A 22,802-nucleotide genomic window follows, 5' to 3' on the forward strand; every position below is an offset into this window, starting at 1 on the left:
CACATGTTGTGAGGCTATGTACATTATCAGTGCTCTCCCCCTACTCCAACACACTGGAAAATGGTCAAGGAAGCCTGTCAGCAGTGTGATCACCAGGGGGTTTCATCTAGTACTGTGGAAGTGATGTGGTAAAAACTTCATTGCTGTGTTCCCAGCATCCAGCAAAGTGCCTGGCATAAAATAGGCATTTAAACATAAATGTTATGGAGCAGATCACAGTATGTTTTTAAACAGATCCCTTCCTCTCTCTCTCTCTCTCTGTCTTTCTCTCTCTCTGATCCAGGATCCCCAGCAAGACTAATGTGCCTTTTTGTTTTTCATGACATTGACATTTATAAAGAGTCTGGGCTAGTTGCAGAATGTCTCAAATTCTGGATTTGTTCCAGAGTGCTTTTTTAAAAATATAAATCAGGACCAGGCATGGTGGCTGACACCTGTAATCCCAGAACTTTGGGAGGCCGAGGCAGGCGGATCACCTGATGTCAGGAGTTCAAGACCAGCCTGACCAACATGGTGAAACCCTGTCTACTAAAAATACAAAATTAGCTGAGTATGGTGGCACATGCCTGTAGTCCCAGCTAATCGGGTGGCTGAGGCAGGAGAATTGCTTGAACCCTGGAGGTAGAGATTGCAGTGAGCTGAGATTGCACCATTGCACTCCAGCCTGGGCAACAAGAGCAAAACTCCATCTCAAAAAAAAAAAAAGATATATATATATATATATATATATATATATACGTATATATATATACATATATATATATACGTATTTTATATATATATATATATATATATATATATATAAATCAGATGAAGTTATTCCCATATTTAAAACCTTCCACAGGATTCCTATAATATTTAGAAAATAAAGTCCAAACTCACTACCCTGGCTTACAAAGGTCTACATTGCCTTTTGTATGTTTTCTTCTTTCTCACTGCAGCCACAGTGGCCTTCCTCCGGTTTCTCAAGTCCACAAAGCTCTCAAATCCTGCAAAATCCTCGCAGGACTTTGCACTGGCTGTTGCCTTTTCCTAATGTGCTTTTCCCTGAAGTTTGCTTGAAGGCTGGCTCCTTCTCATAATTCAAATCCCAGTTTGAATGCCGTTTTCTCAGAGAGGACTTCCTTATCTTAGCCCCCAATCTGAAGTAAAGTAGTCACTTACTCACTCTCACATCACCCTTCTTGTAACTCTCTGCATGGTACCTATCATAACCTGATATTTTTCTTTTTCTTTTTTCTTTCTTGAAGCAGGGTCTGGCTCTGTCACCCAGGCTAGAGTGCAGTGGCTGGATCATAGCTCCCTGGAGACTTGAACTCTTGGGCCTCAGCCTCAGCCTCCCGAGTAGCTGAGACTACAGGTGTGTGCCACCACACCAGGCTAATAAAAAAAATTATTTTTGTAGAGATAGGGTCTCACTATGTTGCCCAGGCTGGTCTCAAACTCCTGGCCTCAAGCAGCCGTCCCACCTTAGCTTCCCAAAGTGCTGCAATTACAGGTGTGAGCACACCCAGTCCTGATATTTCTTGTTGTTTATTTTTGTTGAGCTCCAAGAGATCAGGGGCTGTGTTCTGTTGTGCTCACTACTATATTCCCTGTACCTAGAACAGCTCCTGACACACAGCAGAAGTTTAATACATACTTGCTGAATACTGTAATGAATAAGCTGAGAGCTGAGGATGAAAAGAAGCCAACCATTTAAAGAGCTTGGGGAAAATCTAGGCAGGGAGGAGGTCCTGAGAGAACCTTGAGGCTTAGTCCATTCTAGGGCATGAAGAATGCCCTGTGTACTTGGAGGAAAGTGAGGCAGCAGGAGGAAAAAATAGGAGAGAAGAGAGAAATTGGCAGGGGCAAGATGGCTTAAGGCCTTTTCCCCCACAGGAAGTTTGGATTTTATTTTAAATTAAATGGGAAATCACTAAAGGTTTACGAGTACGAGAGTGACATAATCTGACTTATGCCATTTAAAAGATATTTTTCAATTTGAGTGATTAGGAAGATGGAAGTAACTAATATCAGAGATAGAAATCACATATGTAAGAGAAGATTTGCAGGGGGTAAATAATTCTGGACATGTTGAATGTAATGTTGTACTTCTGGCTGGGTGAGGGGGCTCATGCCTATAATCTCAGCACTTTGGGAGGCCAAGGCAGGAGGATCCTTTGAGCCCAGGAGTTCAAGACCAGCCTGGGCAACATAGTGAGACCTTTTCTCTACTGAAAAAATAAAAATAGCCAGACATAGTGTCAAGCTCCTGTGGTCCCAGCTACTGGGGTGTAGGGGAGGGGTGAGATCGGAGGATCACTTGGCCCTGGGAGGTTGAGGCTGCTGTGCAGTGATCTCCAGCCTGGGTGACAGAGGGAGGTCCTGTCTCTCTCTCTATATATATAAAATTTCCTTTGTGGCTTTCACAGTATCCATACTTTAAAAGAATTTATAATTAAGAAGGAATTAATACCTACCTCTGAAACAGTACAGCCAACCAATTCCATTGTTATTTACAAGAACCTGATATTAAAGATGGTTGTAACGATAATAGGTATCAAGTATGGAGCAGTTTCTATGTGTCAGGCCCTATGTCAACCACTTAACAACCTTACCTCACAGAAGCATCATAGCAACCCTTATTAGAAGAGGCTTTATTATGTTTTACAGGTGGGGAAACTAAGACTAAAGAAGATAACTCATTCAAGGTCAATCAGCAAGTAAGTAGCAGAATTGGAACTCAAACCCAGGTCTAGTTTGATGATAAAGCTGTTCCTTTAAGCAATTTGCCATAACATGCACCTAATGGGAAATGTTGCTTGGATCACTGGTTATGGCCATCATTCACGGAGATACTGAACCCGGAGTTTTCTTTAACATAGCCTTTACCCTGTAGAAACATTTAAACTTCATTTCAGAAGAGAAATATCTATTTGAAAAATAATCTAAGTAAATTCATCAGATGCTTTACCCCAGAGAGACTCTGGTCTTGGTATTTTGGTTTTTGTTGTTGTTTGAGACGGAGTCTCGCTCTGTCGCCGAGGCTGGAGTGCAGTGGCGCGATCTCGGCTCACTGCAACCTCCGCCTCCTGGGTTCAAGCAATTCTCCTGCCTCAGCCTCCCGAATAGCTGGGATTGCAGGCGCCCACCACCAGGCACGGCTAATTTTTGTATTTTTAGTAGAGACGGGGTTTCACCATTTTGACCAGGCTGGTCTCCAACTCAGGTGATCCCCCCGCCTCGGCCTCCCAAAGTTGCTGGTATTACAGATGTGAACCACCGCGCCCGGCCGGTATTTTGTGAAGAACAAACTATAAGGTGACTACTATTTTGGGGTCACCTTGACATGGAGGAGAGGTGAATGGAAATAAAACTTATTCTTCCCAGTGTCTTTAGAATGTAGGCGCTGAAACTGAGTGAAACTGAGTAAAACTGCCACCCAATTTTCCTGGGAACCAGCGATTCTGTAGTCAACAGAAGTTTGCTTTTCCAACAGCTGGAAACGCCAGGGTTGGGCACAGCCTCAAGAACTGAGGCTGCCTTGTTCAGACTTTCACACGGTCCCTCTGTTCCTTCCACAGAGGCCTCTTTTTCTTCTATATCCCGCATCTGCCGCTTGGGACACTCATTCTGTAGCGCAGCACCAAGTCTTCCAAAAAGGCGGCGCTGGTTTTGCGCTCCTTTTTTAAAGGGATCTAGGCCAGCCTCTATCTGAACTCTGTACGATGTTTTTTGTTTGTTTGTTTTGTTTTGTTTTTGAGATGGAATTTCGCTCTTGTTGCCCAGGCTGGAGTGCAATGGTGCGATCTCCACTCACGGCAACCTCCGCCTCCCGGATTCAAGCGATTCTCCTGCCTCAGCCTCCTGAGTAGCTGGGATTAAAGGCATGCGCCACCACTCCCAGCTAATTTTGTATTTTTAGTAGAGACGGGGTTTCTCCATGTTGGTCAGGCTGGTCTCGAACTCCCGACCTCAGGTGATCCGCCCGCCTCGGCCTCCCAAAGTGCTGGGATTATAGCCGTCCGTCACAGCGCCCGGCCAACTCTAGACAATATTTATTGCTCTACTTTTTAGTGTCTGAAGAAGAAAGAAGAGGACAGGAAAGAAACTTCAGTCTGAGGGTTGAGGACACGTCCCGGAGCAGAGGAGGACCAAGCTCCCAAGCCCCCTGTCACCTTGACACGCAGACGGTTCCCCAGGACTGCGAAGAGGGGGGCAACCAGCGCCCCGCCCCGCCCCGCTGCGCCGCCCGCCATTGGCCGGTCCGAAAGACGCGGGGCGTTGTCGGTTTGAATGAGAGCGCCTGGAGCCGGGGCGCAGGCGCAGAGGAGGGCGGTGTTGAGACCGGCGGAGCGGCGGGACCCCTAGGTGGCGGAGGGACGCTCCGGGAAAGCGAGGGGCGCTACGAGCTCTGGCCCACGTGACCTGCCGGGGGCGGGAGCAGGGGGCGCGCCGGCCTCCTGCGGTGCCCCTGCCTTGGGGAGGGGCCGTGACCACCCGTCTGTCGCCCGAGGCGGCCGCCGCTGCACCTTCACCGCGTACCCGGGACCCGCCCGCCCGCGGGAGGTGAGCGCTTCCGCGACGCGGGTTCTGAGGCGTTTGAGGGGCTCTCGGAGGGAGGTGACAGGGAGGGGTGCGTGTGCGTGCGTGTGGGGCTTCTGTGTCCAGAGGTCTGGGGGTGACGTCCTTTGTTTTGGGCAGGAGGCGGGCTGGGGGCTTGCGGGACCTGTGGGCGCTGCGGGGACGCGGCGTCGATGCTCAAGAAACCAGAAACTCGGCTTGAGGAGTTGCTGCTTTTTTGTCGGAAGGTCTTCAAATGAGAGTAAAGCGTTAAGAGCCTCACTCCTGAGTCTTTTTTTTTTTTTAAGATAAAAACTATACTAGAGTCCAGCGACTTCTTACCACTCTGAATGTGAGTAACAAATTGTGAATCAAAGCCCGAATCCCCGTGGAATTCATTCCGAGGCTGATTGCAATCACTTGGAGTCGGGCGCGTCCTACCTAAACCAGGCAGTTTATGGCAAATACCTGCCTTGACCGTGCTTAAATTAGTGAACTTTTGGGCACCAACTGGTCGATTTACCATAGAAATTGGTAGTTGCTGCAAAAAGAGTAAGTAAACATAAAACGTTAAGAAAACTCTTTCCTGAAATCTATAGAATACCTTCGAATAAAAAAAAATCTGTAATTTCCTTGTTTTAATAGTAACCAGTTAGAGCATTTGAACTAGTAGCATTTGAACTCTGTTAAAGAAAACGAGTAAGGATGGAAATTTTATTGGCCTTAATGCATAATTTAACCACACCGTAGAATTAAACGAAGTAGGTTCTTGGCTTTCCTTTCTATCGGGTTTGCATTGGAGCGTTCGTGGGGTGTGTTGGAAGTCAGCAGGACCAACAGAGCTGAGTTTTCAAGCTGCCACTTTAGAAGGGTGTACCGAAGATTTCTGGCCTGATAATAGCCGGTGTGATTGCTTCTGATAAATACCACTTTTGATTGGGTTCTCACTATTCAGGAGCAGCTTTAGTTGATTGTTTAGAAGTGAATAAACAACATTAAAAAGGGTAGATCACTGTTGGTTGACATGGTGTGTGTAAGGAGAGGGGGGCCTCAGGGATTAGGGGTGGTCTCACACCTACTTCTCTTTACAACTACCACGGAGTCGTTTTCGCAAGCTATTTCCCAGGCTATTACTTATAATTTAAGTATTGGAGCGGTTTCAAAGTAAAAAGTTGTGTGATGTTGTTGTAGAGGCATGTCTCCAAAATCCTCTCTGGCCAGATAAGCAGTTTAATTGTATTTTCTTACATTCTTAAATCAGATATTCGGTGTTACAAACATATTTTAATATAGATCTGAGACTTGCTTACTAGACTAATTAAAACAGTGATAAGATATAGTAGTTTTAAAAATGACCTTTTCATAAACATAAAATATTTCTAAGATCTATCTTTAGAAATTTGTAATTAGTTCTCTGGAATTTTAAAATGGAAAATCTGACATAGATTTAGGTTATTCTAAATTTATTTGAATATATATTAAATATGTCTATTTTATAATAACAGTTACTGTTATTACTACAGCACTATGTTGAGTACTTTTGTTATGTATCAGAGCCAGGTGCTGGGTCAGGTGCTTTATAAATCATGTCTGTAATTATCACAGCACATTTTAGGTAAGTGTCATTATGCCCACACCAACTGAGAGTTTAGCGTAAGATCATATAACTAATAAGTCACTGTGCCGAGATTCAAATCATGGCCTGATCCCAAAGCACATGCTGTATTGCTTCTGTGTGTCTGTTTAAATCTCTGCTGTGTCTCTGGATTCCATTTGTAGGGACAAGTTCTACTTTAAAGATGCCTTTAGGTGCTGTGTTTTGTTGTAGCTTCGCAGAAATATTTCAATCTTTCTGTTGGAACTATCTTGCTTCATTATTTTATAAATCATCTTATAAATCACATTATATTTTCAATATCTTCTTAATCATCTTTATACAAAACATAAGTGAAGAGTAAGACTTTTCTGAGTTTCTTACATAAATATGAATAGAATCTTTACTGTGGAGAAGAAATGTATTACAGTCCGGTTTTCTCACTATTGTAGGATTCTTTGGCCTCGTCATAATTCCTGTCTTCTTCCCAGGGAAGAAATTAAAGTTTGTTGGGCCTCTCTTATGTGCAAAGCAATGTCGTTGGTGTTGTGAGATGACAAGAAAATGCTTCCTATTCAGTAGTTGTTTCTGGAGTTTTTGTAGTATTTTTCTTTTCTCCCCATTCCTGCCTTATATGTTGCTGCTGGTTTATCTTCCTAGCAGAGATCCAACTTGGCTATTCCTTTGTGGGGAAAAAATACCAGCAAGGTTCCCCATTGTGTAAATAAAAGGCTGAGGCCGGGTACGGTGGCTCACGCCTGTAATCCCAGCACTTTGGGAGGCCGAGGTGGGCGGATCACGAGGTCAGGAGTTCAACACCAGCCTGACCAACGTGGTGAAACCCCGTCTGTACTAAAAATACAATAGTTAGCCCAGTGTGGTGGCACACGCCTGTAATCCAAGCTACTCAGGAGGCTGAGGCAGGGAGGCGGAGGTTGCAGTGAGCCGAGATCGCGCCACTGCACTCCAGCCCGGGTGACAGATCAAGACTCCATCTCAAAAAAAAAGGGGGGGCTGAATATGAATATATGCTTCTGCCACATGTTCAGAGTCCCTCACAGTTTGTTACTGTTCTACCTTCTCAGCCTTCTCTTTCACTACTCTGAATACTGTGTGCTTATCCTGGAACACATTCTGTGCATTTCTACCCTCCCTTTTTCTTGAGCCATTCTTTTCCCTTGACTGGAATGCCTTTCCTTCATTTGGCTAATAAGATCTACCCATCCTTCAAGGTGCTGTACAAAATTCCTTGCTTCCAAAAAGTTTTCCCTGGTCCTTTTCAGTTAGAATTATTATTCCCATATTATCACAAAACATTATTGAATAGAAACATTTATTTTCCCACAGAATGGTGATAACTTTTGGGAAGAGAAGACAAAATCATGTTTAATATATTTTCCTATGGAGAATTCTAAACTCAAACTCTCTAGGGACCCTTTCTAAGCATTTATAATATTTCTGCATTTGGGATTTATTTCTGCTTTAAAATGTGTTTGGGTCAGGTGCAGTGGCTCACACCTGTAATCCCAGCACTTTGAGGGGCCCAGGTGGGCGGATCACTTGAGACCAGGAGTCGAGACCAGCCTGCCCAACATGGCGAAACCCTGTCTCTGATAAAAATACAAAAATTAGCCAGGCGTGGTGCTGGGCACCTGTGGGAGGCTGAGAGAGGAGAATCACTTGAACCCAGGACGTGGAGGTTACAGTGAGCCAAGATGGCGCCACTGCACTCCAGCCTGGGCGACAGAGTGAGACTCCGTCTCAAAAAAAAAAAAAACAATGCTTAGTGGAAAGGACCATTTCTTTTCTATTTCACTATTGAGCTTTAAAATTATGTATATGTATTAATTGATTGAAGCTGATGACTGGACCATCGTTGGTAATAATAAATGGCTATGCTTACCAAAAAGGTTTATATATAGTTCAGATGATCTAACCTGGTGGCAAGAAAAGTAAATTATATTTATTGTCTGATGAATGTTACCAGTTTGTGTAGATCCATGGATGGAAGAAACAGACCAAAAACAAACAAAGAAACAGACCAAAAGTTATTGGCATTTAAGTGGCAGTCAGGATCAGATAGTTTAGATAAATTCGAAGAAGCACAAAATGTAACCTGGTTTGCAAACTTTTTACTGCCAGTGGAGTAAAGCAGGGCTAGGATTTCTTTGATAAAGAGCTAGCCTTTCTTGTCTGCTCTGATTGCATACCTTGGACAGTGCCTGGAAGTCCACCTAGCTGTCTAAAGGGAGTCTGTCTATTTTGACTTCCTAATCAGATAATTAAATGTGAGGCAGTTAGAGTTATGTACTAGTTGATCTTTCTATATGTCTCTGTCAATTCCCGGGATATGGAAAAAATGATTGCCTTTTCTTTATGGTTAGATGCCGTGATCTAGCAATTTTGTTAATTTTGAGGTTTTTGGAGCATTGCTTGGAAGATGCTATTAAGAGACAGATTTGTTCCTTGCAGATTGTTAGTTGTAAATAGTAGTGGAGGTTGGAGGTTGAACTTGATGACTTCTCAATATCCTTTCAAACCTACAAATTATTTTCCAGTTCTTCGTCCTGTGATTAAATTTTCTTATCCTAATGATCAAATTTGTAATTTAATATTTGTTGCAAATTTTACTAGTCTTACACTATATACACACACATTGTATCTAGGAAGTAGGTTTGTTAACTCCATGTAATGAGGAACATGAGTGAACACATTATTGCTAAATTGGCTAGAGAGTTCTTAAAACATGAATCATGAATCAAGAATTGCTTGTTTGTTCAGTGAATATTTTTTTGTGTGAAGTGCTACCTAATTGTTATGGAGATTGTAATGTAAGAGGCACTTTTAAAGATATTCTTCCCTTGAGAATAGTAAGACTATATTATAAATTGCTCTTATTGAAATAGTGAATAGCATTCTGTCTTCTTGCTTATTTTAATGGTCTTAGAAATGGTTCTTTCTACATGCAGTTTTCATCAAGTAAAATATTTTGCAACTTTATTTATATTCATTTACTTATTCGTTAATTTGTGAAACATGTAAATGCTACATGTTTACATCTTAAGGAGTATGAAATTAACATTTTATAATTGCAAAATTTAGAATTTCATTAAGAACTCATGGATGAGAACAATATTTTGTTTTATTTTTTTAGAGACAGGGTCTCACTCTGTGGCCCAGACTGGAGTGCAGTGGTGCAATCATCGATTACTATAACCTCCAACTCCTGGGCTCAAGCAATCCTCCTGCCTCATCCTCCCAAGTAGCTGGGGCTATAGTCACAGGCCACCACACCTGGCTGATTTTTCAATTTTTTGTAGAAACGGGGTCTTGTACGTTGCCTGGGCTGGTCTTGAACTGTTGGTCTCAAGTGATCCTTCCACCTTGGTCTCCCAAAGCACTGGGATTACAGATGTCAGCCACCGGGCCTACCTAAGAAAAATATTTAAATTTAATATCAGTATCTGTGGGGAATTGGTTCCAGGACCCCCTGAGGATACCAAAATCCATGGATGCTCAAGTTCCTTATATAACATGGTATAGTATTTGCATATAACCTATACGCATCTTCCCACAAACTTTTAATCCTCTCTAGATTATTTATGATACCTAATACGATGTAAATGCTATGTAAATAGTTGTTATATGGTATTGTTTAGGGAACAATGCCAAGGAAAAAAGTCTACATGTTCAGTAGAGACACAACTTTTCATTTTCTTTCCTGAATATTTTTGATACGCGGTTGGTTGAATCCACTATGCAGAACCCACAGATCTGGAGGACCTACTATAATTTAATTTAATTCTAAGGTAAGTTAATTCTAATACCTCTCTTTCTGCTCCATTTTATAAATAACAGCCCAAACCTCATAGTGGATAACGGGAGATAATATCATTGCCAGTTTAGCTGTTTGTGTAATCTAGACGCCTTTGGAGCTATTGCAATGAGTATCCACACTAATTCCCTTTATTAATTTTTTTATTAAGGAAAAAAGAGGCACAGTGGAATTCTGAACAAAAGGAAAAGAGATTTGATGTGTTGATAGCTGCTATTTGATGTGTTGATAGCTGCTACCTTTTTGTTCTTTCTTAAAATACTGCTCCCTAGCCCGTGCTGTGGCATGCACCTGTAGTCCCAGCTACTTGGGAGGTTGAAGCGAGAGGATCACCAAGAGTTCCAGGCTGCAGTGTGCTATGATTGTGATGTGAATAGCCACTGTACTCCAACCTGGGCAACATAGCAAGATCCCATCTCTAAAAAAACAAAACAACAACAAAAGATAGTGCTTCCTTTGTTGGCCAAGGGAAGAGATAAGAGGAGTACTATTTTGTGTTTCTTGCAGGCTAAACTTGTTATTAATGTGAAAACCTCATTTCCTCTTGGAAACTTCATCAGTATTCCCAAGGCTGTTTCTTTCTACCTTCCCTCCTTTCACCTTCTGCTCTGTTCCCTATTAACTTCTAGCTGTACTTAATTAACAGAGCAGTGAGTATTCATTAGTCTGGTTTATGATATAGCTGAAATACTTAAAAGGATGTTATATAGAAGAGGAATTAGGCTTTATTGTATATGGCAGCAGAAGGAAGAAGTAGAACAAATGGGTAGAAATGGAAGAATTGCTCAAAGTATGGAACGATTTTCTTACAGGAATATTCAAAATTAAGATTAGCTGCTTTATGACCTATGTAGGAATGCTATAGTAAGATAGTGGACTAACTGACCTCTAGGATTGTTTATAACACTGAGATTCCAGGACTTTATGATTGTATATCTACCAATTTATCTCATATATGTATATGTATATCCTTCTTTGTCTTTCTCAACTGTTATCTCAGAGGTTATAGTTTATGTCTGATATGCTGTAGCTCTCTCTAATGTATCGGTATGGATTCATTTTTATTTAAATATTCTCAGTCTTTATCACTGAAGATTTTACCTTTATTCCTCTCTTTTTCTTTCTCACCCTCCTATTAGATATATTATAGAGCTGCTCATTTTGTCCTCCTTTTCTCTGAACTTCTCTTTATTATTTTTCATCTGCTTATTCTTTCTTTAGCTGCTTAACTAGTACATTGAGGGTTTGTTGTTGTTGTTGTTGTTGTTTTGGTGGGGGCAGACAGAGTTGCACTGTGTCGCCTGGGCTGGAGCGCAGTGGCATAATCTTGGCTCACTGCAACCTCCGCCTCCCGGGTTCAGGCTCACTGCAACCTCCACCTCCCGGGTTCAAGTGATTCTCATGCCTCAGCCTCCTGAGTAGCTGGGATTACAGGCTTGCATCACCACACCTGGCTAACTTTTGTATTTTTAGTAGAGACAGGGTTTCACCGTGTTGGCTAGGCTGGTCTTGAACTCCTGGCCTCAAGTGATCACCTGTGTCTGCCTCCCAAAGTGCTGGGATTACAGGCATGAGCCATTGCACCTGGCCCTAACTAGTACATTGAGTTATTAATATCAGTGTTCATGGTAGTTTTTTGTTTCATTTTGTTTTGGGGCAGGGTCTTGCTCTGTCAACCAGGCTGGAGTGCAGTGGCATGAATATTAATACTGTTAGTAACAGCAATCCAAAAAACTATAATCCAAATGTCCATCAACAGCAGAATGAAAAATACATTTGGTATACAATGGAATATACATGCAAGTTGTAGCTATGCACAACAATTGAGAAAAATCTCAGAAACAACGTTCAGCAAAATCATATAAAACTAAATGGTATCTTATTTAGGACTATACTGACATTCGTGTTAAAGTTGTAAAGACAAGCAAAGGAATAAGGAACAAAATACAGTTTAGAAATCACCTTAGAGGGAAAAGGAAGGAGATGGGTTAGGTTGGACTACCCAGGAGACTTTAAAGGCAGGTAATGTTCTTATTTTAGACTGAATGGTGTTATATAAATGTTTGTTGTGTCATTCTTTTTACCATATACATATTTCCCAAATGTCTTTTGTACCTACCCAATATTAATAAAAAACATTTTAAAGACCTTAAAGAGTTTAAGTAGAATATATTTTGAAAGCAAATGAATCCAACTATAACCGAAGTATCAGTGTGATATCTTCTTTGAAGAAATAAATTTACTGAGTTTGGAGTTGACTATTTCAAATAATTATTGAATTTTCATTTGATTTGTTAATAGTAGTTTTTAAAAGTTTGAAGCAGCAATTTTGTTTTTAGATGCTAATATGATACATACTGTTCTTTTTTGTTTATAGCAGAAAATATTACATAAAAGTATTAAATTTCAAACATATTTTAAAAATTACAGTTCTCAAATCTCATCTATTCCCACCCCTATTTAGAAGCTCCATGATGACAGTTAAGCCCTGTGCTATCTTCTGTATTGATTGACATGACAGCAGTCTGCAGAGTTAGCTTGTGATTATGTACAGCTCAGGGTTACTGTAGGTTGTTCTTTGAAAATAGGACTTCAAGCAAAGCATCTTGTATTCCTTTTGCAGAAATGTTGCTGAAGTGCTGCTGAAAGGGCCAGAGATGCAAGGATTTGGGATACATTTTGAACCTTTAAGCTGTCTGACATTGACCTCCTTTCATTATTAATAAAGAAGAATCAGGAGCTTAGGATGTATTAACACCAACTCATTAATATACTAACCGGACAATGTTCTACAAACAATTCTACATTGTAAAGGACTGGATTGGCACAAAATAAAATAATTTTATTTTATTCAGCTTATAATATGACTCGATGGAGGAAAATTTGATAAGCATGAGAGAAGACCATTCTTTTCATGTTCGTTACAGGTAAGACTATTGCTGTCTTAATGGATGACTTTTAATCCTTATTTTAAAGTGTTTTTAACTCTGATGACCATTTCAAGTTTCAGTTGAAAATACTCAAATATACCAGCCATAGTATTGTCTGTAGACAATATTTTCTTTTTGTTGTAAGTTTTCCTTTCTGTAAGAAAATGATAGTAGAGACCAATTATGTACTATGGTTTGTTTAATGTTCTCTGGAAGAGTTTATGAATAATTTCTTTATAATTTGTAACTTTTTATGTAATGCAAATATGTAAATGAAATATGTTTGAAAATCTTTGGGGCTAAAAGGTGGATTTTTTAAAAATGTGGTCAGCTGAAGGACCAAACCTTTGCATTGTAATTTAATGTGATCTTTTAGACATGAACTTTTTATTTTTGATTTATTTTTATTTTTTGTAGTGTATTGTTTTGATTCCCTTCTCATTTCCTTTTTTTGTATATTTTTTATTTTATTAATTTTACTTTTTCTATATTATCAGAGATGGGAGTCTCACTATATTGCCCAGGCAAGTCTCAAACTCCTGGGCTCAAGCAATCCTCCTGCCTCAGCCTCCAGAGTAGCAGGAACTACAGGTGTGTGCCACTGCACCTGGCTTTTTATTTTATCTTTAAAGGAAATTTTATTTCACAACCATTATTACTGTTTTAAATATGTACCTAATCCACATTAATATAAATACATTATTATTAAAATACAAACAAGCGCTGTTCAAAAGAAATGTCATTTTTAAGCTTAATGTCTAGTGACATTTTGTGTTGTTTTGCTGATTTAATACTTAAGACCACATTTTTACATGAAGTAGTGGTTTGGTAATCCCTAATTTACTCCAGAAAGCAAGTCAGGCTGAGGAAAGGCACCCACATGCATTCTCTCACAAGCTTCACGGTCCCTAGGGAAATGGCCTGGCTCCTCTAGGACTTACAGTGTTCCCTTGGATGCCCAAATGGATTGTCTACATTCCTGGTAGAAGGTTGCAGATTGTAAGGACCAGTGTTCCCACCTTTGTTCTGCATCCACAAGTGTCTTTCACAAATACAACACACTCCCTTTGGCTACACCTTATATATAATAGGTTATGCACATGTATGTGTGTTGGTGGGGGTGGATGCTTCCCACTGATCTAGATCAGGATCCAAATCAGACATACACATCAGGAAAGGAGGGAAGATAGCCAGGAAGTGATAGCTGGGCAGAATGAAGGTACAGAATGGGCAGGTCTTCCTGATTTTTCAGAAGAGCCCAGGAAATCTGAAAATCTGAAGAGTGTGTGTGTGTGTGTTTTTGTGTTTTTGTTTTTTTTTTTTTGGAGACAGTCTCACTCTGACGCCCAGGCTGGAGTGCAGTGGCACGAGTTTGGCTCACTGTAACCTCCGCCTCCCATGTTAAAGCGATTCTCTTGTCTCAGCTTCCCGAGTAGCTGGGATTATAGGCGTGTGTCACCACGCCCAGCTAATTTTTTGTATTTTTAGTAGATACAGGGTTTTGCCATATTGACCAGGCTGGTCTTGAGCTCCTGGCCTCAAGTGATATGCCCGCCTTGGCCTCCCAAAGTGCTGGGATTATAGGCATGAGCCACCAAGCCCGGCCGGAAATCTAAATCTTTATTGTGCTGTCTCCAAATTCTGAAATGTTGGCAGCTAATGCAAATTTTTTTTTAAAAATGTGGGTTGAACATTTTAAGGAGGAGAAAGAGGCCTGTAACAGACACAACTCTCTAAAAAACCACACAGGCAGGTGGGGGAGGTAGAGCTCAAGGTTTTGAGAAAGCTGCTCTCCAGGACGTAACATACACTTACCCTGGGACTCCGAGGCGCTAACCCTCCTGCACCTCGAGGCCCAGAGCACCAAGTGCGATGTCCCCATCTCCTGGCCTTGCCCACCTCATTGCCCTCCATATCTCCTCATCACACCTTCGATTCCCCAAACCCCATAGGTTTCTCTGCCTCCCAGACTTTGCCCCTTATTCCTTGGATGGCCTAGAATGCCATTACCTGCCATCCTCCCAGGCACTGCCTGTTGCAAGCCAGGCTCCCATTCTCATTCCTCACTCCTAGAGGGTTGCATACAGACCTTCCTATTGCACCCTTCTAGATGGGCTGCTTAGGTCAGTGTCACCCACAGACACCATGCACCCAGTGACAGTCTGTGAGAGCATGCAGCCTACCCCCATCCGTGTGTGGAGCTCAGCCTTCATAAATGAGCATCTTGAAGGAATGGGTATTAAATAAAGTCGGAATAGGTGGGTACTTTGTAAACATGATAACCAATAGCCAGTTTAATATTTAGTGTTAAATATTAATGACATCTCTAATGCAATTAGGAACAAAACAAGGCTATCTGCACTATGATTATTAATATTCTGCAAGTTCTGGTAATTGCACTAAACGATAAAATAAATGCAAACTTAAATATTATCATCATTTAATAAGGTGATTAGGGAATATGTTTTTGTTTTTGTTTTTGTTTTGAAATGGAGTATCACTCTGTCACCCAGGCTGGAGTGCAGTGGTGTGCAATCTCAGCTCACTGCAACCTCTGCCTCTCAGGTTCAAGCAGTGCTCCTGCCTCAGCCTCCTGAGTAGCTGGGACTACAGGCGTGTGCCACCATGCCCAGCTAACTTTTATATTTTTAGTAGAGATGGGGTTTTGCCATGTTGGCCAGGCTGGTCTCGAACTCCTGACCTCGGGTGATCCACCCGCCTCGGCCTCCCAAAGTGCTGGGATTACAGGCGTGAGCCACTGCACTTGGCCTTTTTTTCCCCGTTGAGACAGAGTCTTGTTCTGTTTCCCAGACTGGAGTGCAGTGGCATGATCACAGCTCACTGCAGCCTCAACCTCTCAGGCTCAAGCAATCCTCCCACCTCAGCTTCCTGAGTAGCTGGGACTACAGCTATGCCTGGCTAATTTTTAAAATCTTTTTGTGAAGATGCGATCTCACTCTGTTGCCTAGGCTGGTCTCGAACTCCTGGGCTCAAGCAGTCCACCTACCTCAGCCTCCTCAAGTGCTGGGATTACAGGAATGAGCTGCCGTGCCCAGCTGGTAATAGATTCTTTATCAAAACTGTTACAAGTTAATTATTAGATGAACATCAGAATATAGTAGCAATTAATAGAATTCAAAATCTCAGGAGGGTGTACCAAATTTTAGATGTCTTAACATATTTAGGAAATGGGAGATTTATCATCCTGTAAATAGTTCACGTTAGGAAGGTTCATGCCAAGGAAGTTAACATAGGTAAGATGAGGACATTTCTATTAAAAAAGAGTTTCAAGTAAAATAAAATGGAAGACATTTAAGATAATTAAGATGAGCTTTTAATATACGAAATGCTGCCATCCTACCCTTTACATAAATTTCCAGAAACCTGGGAATTATATACTTTTTTCTTTTCTCATTCTGTATCCAGCATGAAGTATTGCTGGTTTCATCTCCTAAATGTTTCTCAGATTCATCTACTCATGTGCATCCTCCCAGTTGTTTGAAAGGCTTGTTCCCCGGTGCTGTAAAGAAATAGCACTTGAACATAAATTTAATTTATTTAGTAAGGCCATTTTTACTTGCTGCAGAAGGGGTACACTCATCAGCAGTTTTGCCTCGAGAGTACACTGAACAAAGGAGACAGGGTCATTTATAACCTGATGTATCCACCCTACTGCTGTGTCTGGTTTCCATTAACTGGAACGGGACCTCACATTCTGTATTTGTCCCGATTGGCTAGCAACTTAGAACTTTTTAAAAGAGGCAAAGGTAGAGGGGAACAAAGGAAGGAGGAAGTAACTTGTGGAATGTTGAGAAAGATAAAAACACTTTTAAATAAGGAAGAGGAACAGGCTATGACCTAATGCTTGCTTGGACCAGTGTAAGCATGCTAGGGCAAATACTTAGGCTAAATTGTGGGAGCTAAGAACATAAGGTACATTGATTTCCTTATTACCGCTAGCAGATATTTAAGAATGTTAACACAGTTCTTTGAATAAATTTTGCGTCTAAGGAATAAATACTATTTATTCCTAATTAGATGGGGAGGAAAGTCTTTGAAGAGGAACCTTTACTTTACTTTTTACACCGCCATAGCTATAATTGAGATCCTCAGGATCTTCTTTCCAGACTGCCTCCATTCTTCACCTCTTGGAACCCGTCGTTTTGACTTGTCACTAGTGGGCTCAATCTCAAAACACAGAGCTAACCGTGCAACCTCTCTGCTTAATACCTAGGGTGGCTCCTAGTCACCCGGCCAAGCTGAACATAGAACACAAGATCTTCATTATCTGGCTTCTGCCTATTCCTGGGACCTTACTTCCTGCCATTCTTCACCTTGCACTTTGAGCTCTGGTTTCCTGCATGTCATGCTGTTTTATATTTCAGTGTCTTTGCTCATGCTATGCCCTATGTTGAACTCCCTTCCCACTTTCTTTGTTTAGCTAATTCTACTCTAAGATACAGCTCGGAGATTATCTCCTCCTGGAAACCATTTCTAAGCTCCATAGTTAGGCTCTGTGGCCTCCGTGTGCTCATATTACAATCTGTGCATTTTTCTTTCTTAGCACCAACTGTATTAAAATTAAGTTAATCTGTTTTTATGGTGCTCCCTTCCTCCTCACCTCTCCCTTTGAGCATTAGCTCCTCAGCTGTGGTCACTCCTCAGCAGCCATGATAATTAGCATGTTGTCTGGCACATATTGAACTTCAATGGAATATGAACGTAATAAGATGTTTATCTGTCTTGCTAAATGTTTTGAATAGTATTGTGCTTTCTAATATGGTAAGAACAGTAGATAAGTAGGAATGGCTTGTACCTCTGCCTGTTGGAAGATCTTAGAATTGTCCTTTTTCTGTGATACAGTCTAGATCAAACATGGTTGCACTTTGCTATAGGACTTCACCAAGGGAAACTTAAAAATCTGTACTGTCTGTAATAGGACTATACCAAACAAATCTCTGGCTTTATCAGTGCTCTAAGACCAGCATTCTGTATATTGATTGGATTGTCGTATAATTGGGGGTAATGATTTGAACTCTTTATGTTAGGCCATAGGCTGGTATAAGTTATTCTTCTGCTATAGTAAATCCTTATGAAATGTTTTATCCATCTGGTTCTTCCATTGTGGAGGTCCTCCTCTATCCCTGGAGGAGTTTCTGTGGCACAATGAATTTGTAATTTTGAATGGAATGTTTCTTGGAACACTAAGTAACCTCCTAAGGGGACATCAGAATGCTTTATTGAAATATTTTGCACCTATTTCAAAAGGTAGAGACTGATAGCAAGTACAATTTAAGTTAAAAAAAAATTATATGGTTGATTTTTAAGGAATTATTAATTTTTTATGTGTGATAATGGTATTGTGATTGTATTTTTTGAAAAAGATTAATCTTTTAAAGATACATACTAAGGTATTTACAAATTAAATCATATGCTTTCCGGAATGTACTTCAGACCAATCTGGGGTTGGAAGAGTAACGATCAGAGTAGAGATGAATAAATAATATATTGATTATATATGTGTAATTATTGACGTTGAAAGATGGATACATTGGGTTTGTTACACTAGTTCCTCTGGTTTTGTGTTTCTTTGGAAAATGTCATTTATACTTCTTACTGTGAATAATAAGCATTTTAATACTTTAATATTGTAAAAGTTAGATTCTTGCATGTAAGTTGTGAAGGAATACAGATATGGTGTTGAATTCTTTAATTTTGTTAGCTCAATGTAGTTGTTAATGTGCTTTCTTGAGTAGTTTAAGGTAACATGGAGTGATGGAAAGACCACTGGATTTGGAGACAAAGATAAATTTTCATATCTCAACTTTGACATCCCATGACCTTAAGCAAGTCATTTAACCTGTCTCAGCATCACTTTCTCCTTCTGTAGCAATACCTATCTTAGAAGGTTATTTTTATTTTATTTTATTTGAGATAGGGTCTGGCTCTGTCACCCATGCTGGATTGCAGAGGTGTGATCTTAGCTTACTGCACCCTCTGCCTACTGGGCTCAAGCTATCCTCCCACCTCAGCCTCCCGAGTAGCTGGGACTACTACAGGTGCATGCCACCACAGCCAGCTAATTTTTTTTTTTTTTTTTTTTGGTGGAGATGGGGTTTTGCCATGTTGCCCAGGCTGGTCTCGAACTCCTGGGCTCAAGCGATCCACCCCCCCTTAGCCTCCCAAGTGCTGGGATTACAGGTATGAGCCACTGCACCCAGCCTCAGAGGGTTATTTTGAGAATTAAGTTTGATAAAGGTTAAAATCACTTTTAAAACTAAATTACCATACAAATTTTTGTTTTTTAATCATTTTCTTCCTTCTTATTCTATATTATTAATCATCTAACCATACAAATGTAAATCAATTGAGCACTACTTTTCCTTTTACATAATAAATGAGAACAGCTAGATATATGTGGTAAATTGAATGGATGAAATTTGTTTATTGGGGCTAGCACTGGTGATGGAAAAGGTTCATGCCCAATTAGAATACAGAGAAGGTAGAGCTAGGATTTATGAAAGAAGATCACACAACCACAGAAATGGAAAGCATAATAGAGAAAATGGAGAGTAGTCTTATTTTGCCTCTTAAGTCCTGAATTCCATCATTTATTCTTAAATAGTATGTAAGCCCTTTGAAGCAAGAGTCAAATCTGGACAAAATTGATGTTATTAAGTCTTTTAGAAAGATGTAGCATCATGGTTTTATGTTTTGCATTCACTGACGTCCTGTGAACACGAAACAAATTTAAGGAGGTAAAGAGGATAATAGTCAAGTGCAAAATCTAGTGTGGAAGAGAAGTTAAAAATTAAAAGAAAAATTGAAATGACATGAGTTTGCACAGAAAATGAGAAATTCTAGCTAAAATGTTCACTCTATTAGCAAAAATGAAAACACGTCAGTTAAGGATAGTAGTACTGTGTCTATTTGAAGTTTATTAGAAACATATTTTCTTTGATTATACAGCTAGATAGGCTCTCAGAAGCATAAAGGAAACTTTGTATGTGGGATGAATTTTAATGGAGGGGTATGTTCTTGGTTTTTCTTCTACATGTGGGTATGTTCTTTGTTTTCAACCCAACTGGTAAACAAAGGAAGTAATTCTATTCTCTCATAGTGACAGAGAGGATATGAAATTACTTTCTCTGTTACTATTTAATGATCTTCTAAAAAATTTATAAACCAAGCTGCCCTATTTTGCAGGCATAAATCTATATTTGATTCAGGTGTTAGAGATTTTTGCCAGAATATTAACTTATTTTCTAATAAAATACACCAGAGCCTGAATCTATCTAAGAATTAATCATAAACTAGAGTGTTTGGGACATTATTTCAGGTATTAGTCACTGGAATAACTTTTCTAAGATAGTCTCTCCTGTAGGGCATTCTCACTACATGGACTTCAAGGACAGCCATGTAGCCAGCAAGCTTCCAGTTTGCTAGTATTGTTTCTTATGACAATTATGTAAAATGCCTTTTTAAAAACGTGTAACACTTACGATGCCATTCAATCTATAGCTAAGTTTTGTGGGATGCCACATCATTTGGATCAATGGTTCCAGTAAAATGTTCTGTAAACTTAAATCCAGAAGATCAGTCATTTGTGGTGAAGTTATTTATTTGAAGAAGATACTTCTCAGTTTTATATGAATATTGGCAAACACTTTTATACTTCCGATTTTTAAATGTTGTTCACATGAATAGCCAGTTCTGCCTTATTCCTAATTTCCCGGCCAGCAACCCAGTCATCCTGAACTGATGGTGCTGTCATGTGTGACCATTTCCTCACTTCCCCCTCAGTGAAATGATGCGCCATCATTAGTAATCCATTGTATAGTGGCGTGTAATTTTTTTTACCCAGTACTCTATTGGTGGACATTTAATTCATTTGTGGTTTTTTTGCTGCTGTGAATATCCTTTCATATGTATCTTCTTAAATTTGTGTAAGTATACCTTAAGATCAATTCTTAGCACTGAAAATGCTTGAGATATAATTTTTAACATAATTTAGAATGCTTAAATTAAAAACTTTTTGTAGGAAAAGAATTATTTTACAAATAAAAATATCTTTTCCATTTTTTTAAATAATATTTCTTAGAAATTCATTGGTTTCAGTTTTTGACAAATAAAGACAACCAGTTCAGGTACTTCATCTAGCAAAATAATCCTTTAATAAAAATCACATTTTGACTGGGCACAGTGGCTCACGCCTGTAATCCCAGCACTTTGAGAGGCTGAGGCAGGCGGATCTCCTGAGGTCAGGAGTTGGAGACCAGCCTGGCCAACATGATGAAACCCCATCTCTACTAAAAATACAAAAATTAGCTGGGCACGGTGGTGCATGCCTGTAATCCCAGCTACTCAAGAGGCTGAGGCAGAAGAATTGCTTGAACCCAGGAGGCGGAGGTTGCAGTGAGCCATTGCGCTCCAGCCTGGGTGACAGAGTGAGACTCCATCTCAAGAAAAAAAAAATTACATTTTTATATATCTTTTGTTGATTTATTTATCTTTATACATAGAATATGACAATAACTTCATAAAATCTTAAACAGATATACTCAATTTTTTCTTTTATGAAATATCTCATTTTCAGAAATACAATTCTAAAGGGCAGTTTTCATTTTTGGAAGGCAAAAATAGGCTTTATTAATTGTGAAGTGACATATAAAGAAACATAAATATAGCTGTTTAAGGTTTCTGATTTAACTGCTTATCTTACTATGTATTTTAGATCTTCTCTCCTGTATCTAATTGGCTTGTAGTCTAATATTGTAGCAAAATGTTGGAGGTTTACCTGCATTATTTTGCATAGATCCATAAAGTGAAGATGGGGCCAGCCATGGTGGCTCACACCTGTAATCCCAGCACTTTGGGAGGCCAAGATGGGTGGATTGCTTGAGGTCAGGAGATTGAGACCAGCCTGGCCAACATGGCAAAACCCTGTCTCTACTAAAATTACAAAAATTAGCCAGGCATGATGGCACATGACTGTAATCCCAGCTGCTCAGGAGACTGAGGCACGAGAATCACTTGAACCCAGGAGGCAGAGGTTGCAGTTAGCCAAGATTGTACTGCTGCACTCCAGCCTGAGTGACAGTGAGAGACTGTGTCTCAAAAAAAAAGTGAAGATGAGCAAGCAGTAGCCATTGGCTAAGTCATTTGAATTCTTAAAAAAAAAAAAGATACCTAGATAGAAAACTTGAAAATTACCTATTGGAATTGGCTACATATATCTGCTTGTTCTAAACCAGAAGTCTGCTTTGAACCTTTACAATTGGCTCAGTTTATCTTTGTCCAGGCTTTTAGCTTCATCAGGTACATTTTCTACTTTACAATCCCATTTTAATTTATGGCTCTAAGGACCCTTGAAATTTTGCAGACTGAAAAACAGCACTCACAAAAACATGTTAATTGATCTACCACTAGATATACAGAGTATAATCATATTTGAATGATATTAGGGTGGGTGGTGGTTTAATTCACATTTCTTATAAAAGCACTGATTCTCAACCCTAACTTGTACTTTAGAATTACCTGGGGCTTTAAAAAAATACAGGTGGCCAGACATCACCCAGAGGGTGGAGTTCAGCGTTGGGAGTTTTAGAAAGTGCTCCAGGTGAGCTCTGCTGTTGTACAGCCAGCATTAAGAACAACTGCTCTATTGGAGTGGCTCAAAGCTCATTCTAGTAAGGAGTAACTTAATGCTGTTCCAAAAATTAAAACATTTGATGAGCTTAATCAGAGCTTCTCAAAGAGTGATATGTATGCCACTGGTGGTACATAAGGTAACTTTACTCACTTTTAGATTTTAATAATTTCATATTTGTTTAATGTGTATTAGAACGGGGTTCCCAACCCCTGGGCCACAGACCAGTACTGTTGTAGCCTGTTAGGA

The 22,802-nt window shown here is 40.1% G+C and overlaps 1 protein-coding gene across 10 annotated transcripts in view, besides 3 other annotated features; it reads left to right on the forward strand.

Moving 5' to 3' along the window:
* Positions 3,964-4,063: an enhancer, noted in NCBI's record as "active region_1431". NCBI's record gives its function as "activates an Ori minimal core promoter by ATAC-STARR-seq in GM12878 lymphoblastoid cells {active_cell/tissue: GM12878}" and the evidence as "EXISTENCE:reporter gene assay evidence [ECO:0000049][PMID:35858748]".
* Positions 4,144-4,543: a silencer, noted in NCBI's record as "silent region_1138". NCBI's record gives its function as "represses an Ori minimal core promoter by ATAC-STARR-seq in GM12878 lymphoblastoid cells {active_cell/tissue: GM12878}" and the evidence as "EXISTENCE:reporter gene assay evidence [ECO:0000049][PMID:35858748]".
* Positions 4,308-22,802, forward strand: part of GPSM2 (G protein signaling modulator 2) — a 57,561-nt gene continuing 39,066 nt past the window's right edge. For 3 of the 10 annotated variants that reach the window (NM_013296.5, NM_001321039.3, XM_011541303.4), the window contains exons 1-2: positions 4,308-4,551; positions 12,598-12,901. In NM_013296.5, coding sequence (NP_037428.3) covers positions 12,846-12,901 — 56 coding nt within the window. In that variant the 5' untranslated portion in view covers positions 4,308-4,551; positions 12,598-12,845. Of the gene's footprint in view, positions 4,552-4,853; positions 5,098-9,798; positions 9,949-12,597; positions 12,902-22,802 lie in introns of all 10 variants that reach the window. The other 7 variants (XM_047418723.1, XM_011541302.4, XM_047418724.1 and 4 more) reach the window with 7 other exon arrangements.
* Positions 4,634-4,703: a silencer, noted in NCBI's record as "silent region_1139". NCBI's record gives its function as "represses an Ori minimal core promoter by ATAC-STARR-seq in GM12878 lymphoblastoid cells {active_cell/tissue: GM12878}" and the evidence as "EXISTENCE:reporter gene assay evidence [ECO:0000049][PMID:35858748]".

Source organism: Homo sapiens, chromosome 1, assembly GCF_000001405.40.
Source record: "Homo sapiens chromosome 1, GRCh38.p14 Primary Assembly".
NCBI lineage: Eukaryota > Metazoa > Chordata > Mammalia > Primates > Hominidae > Homo > Homo sapiens.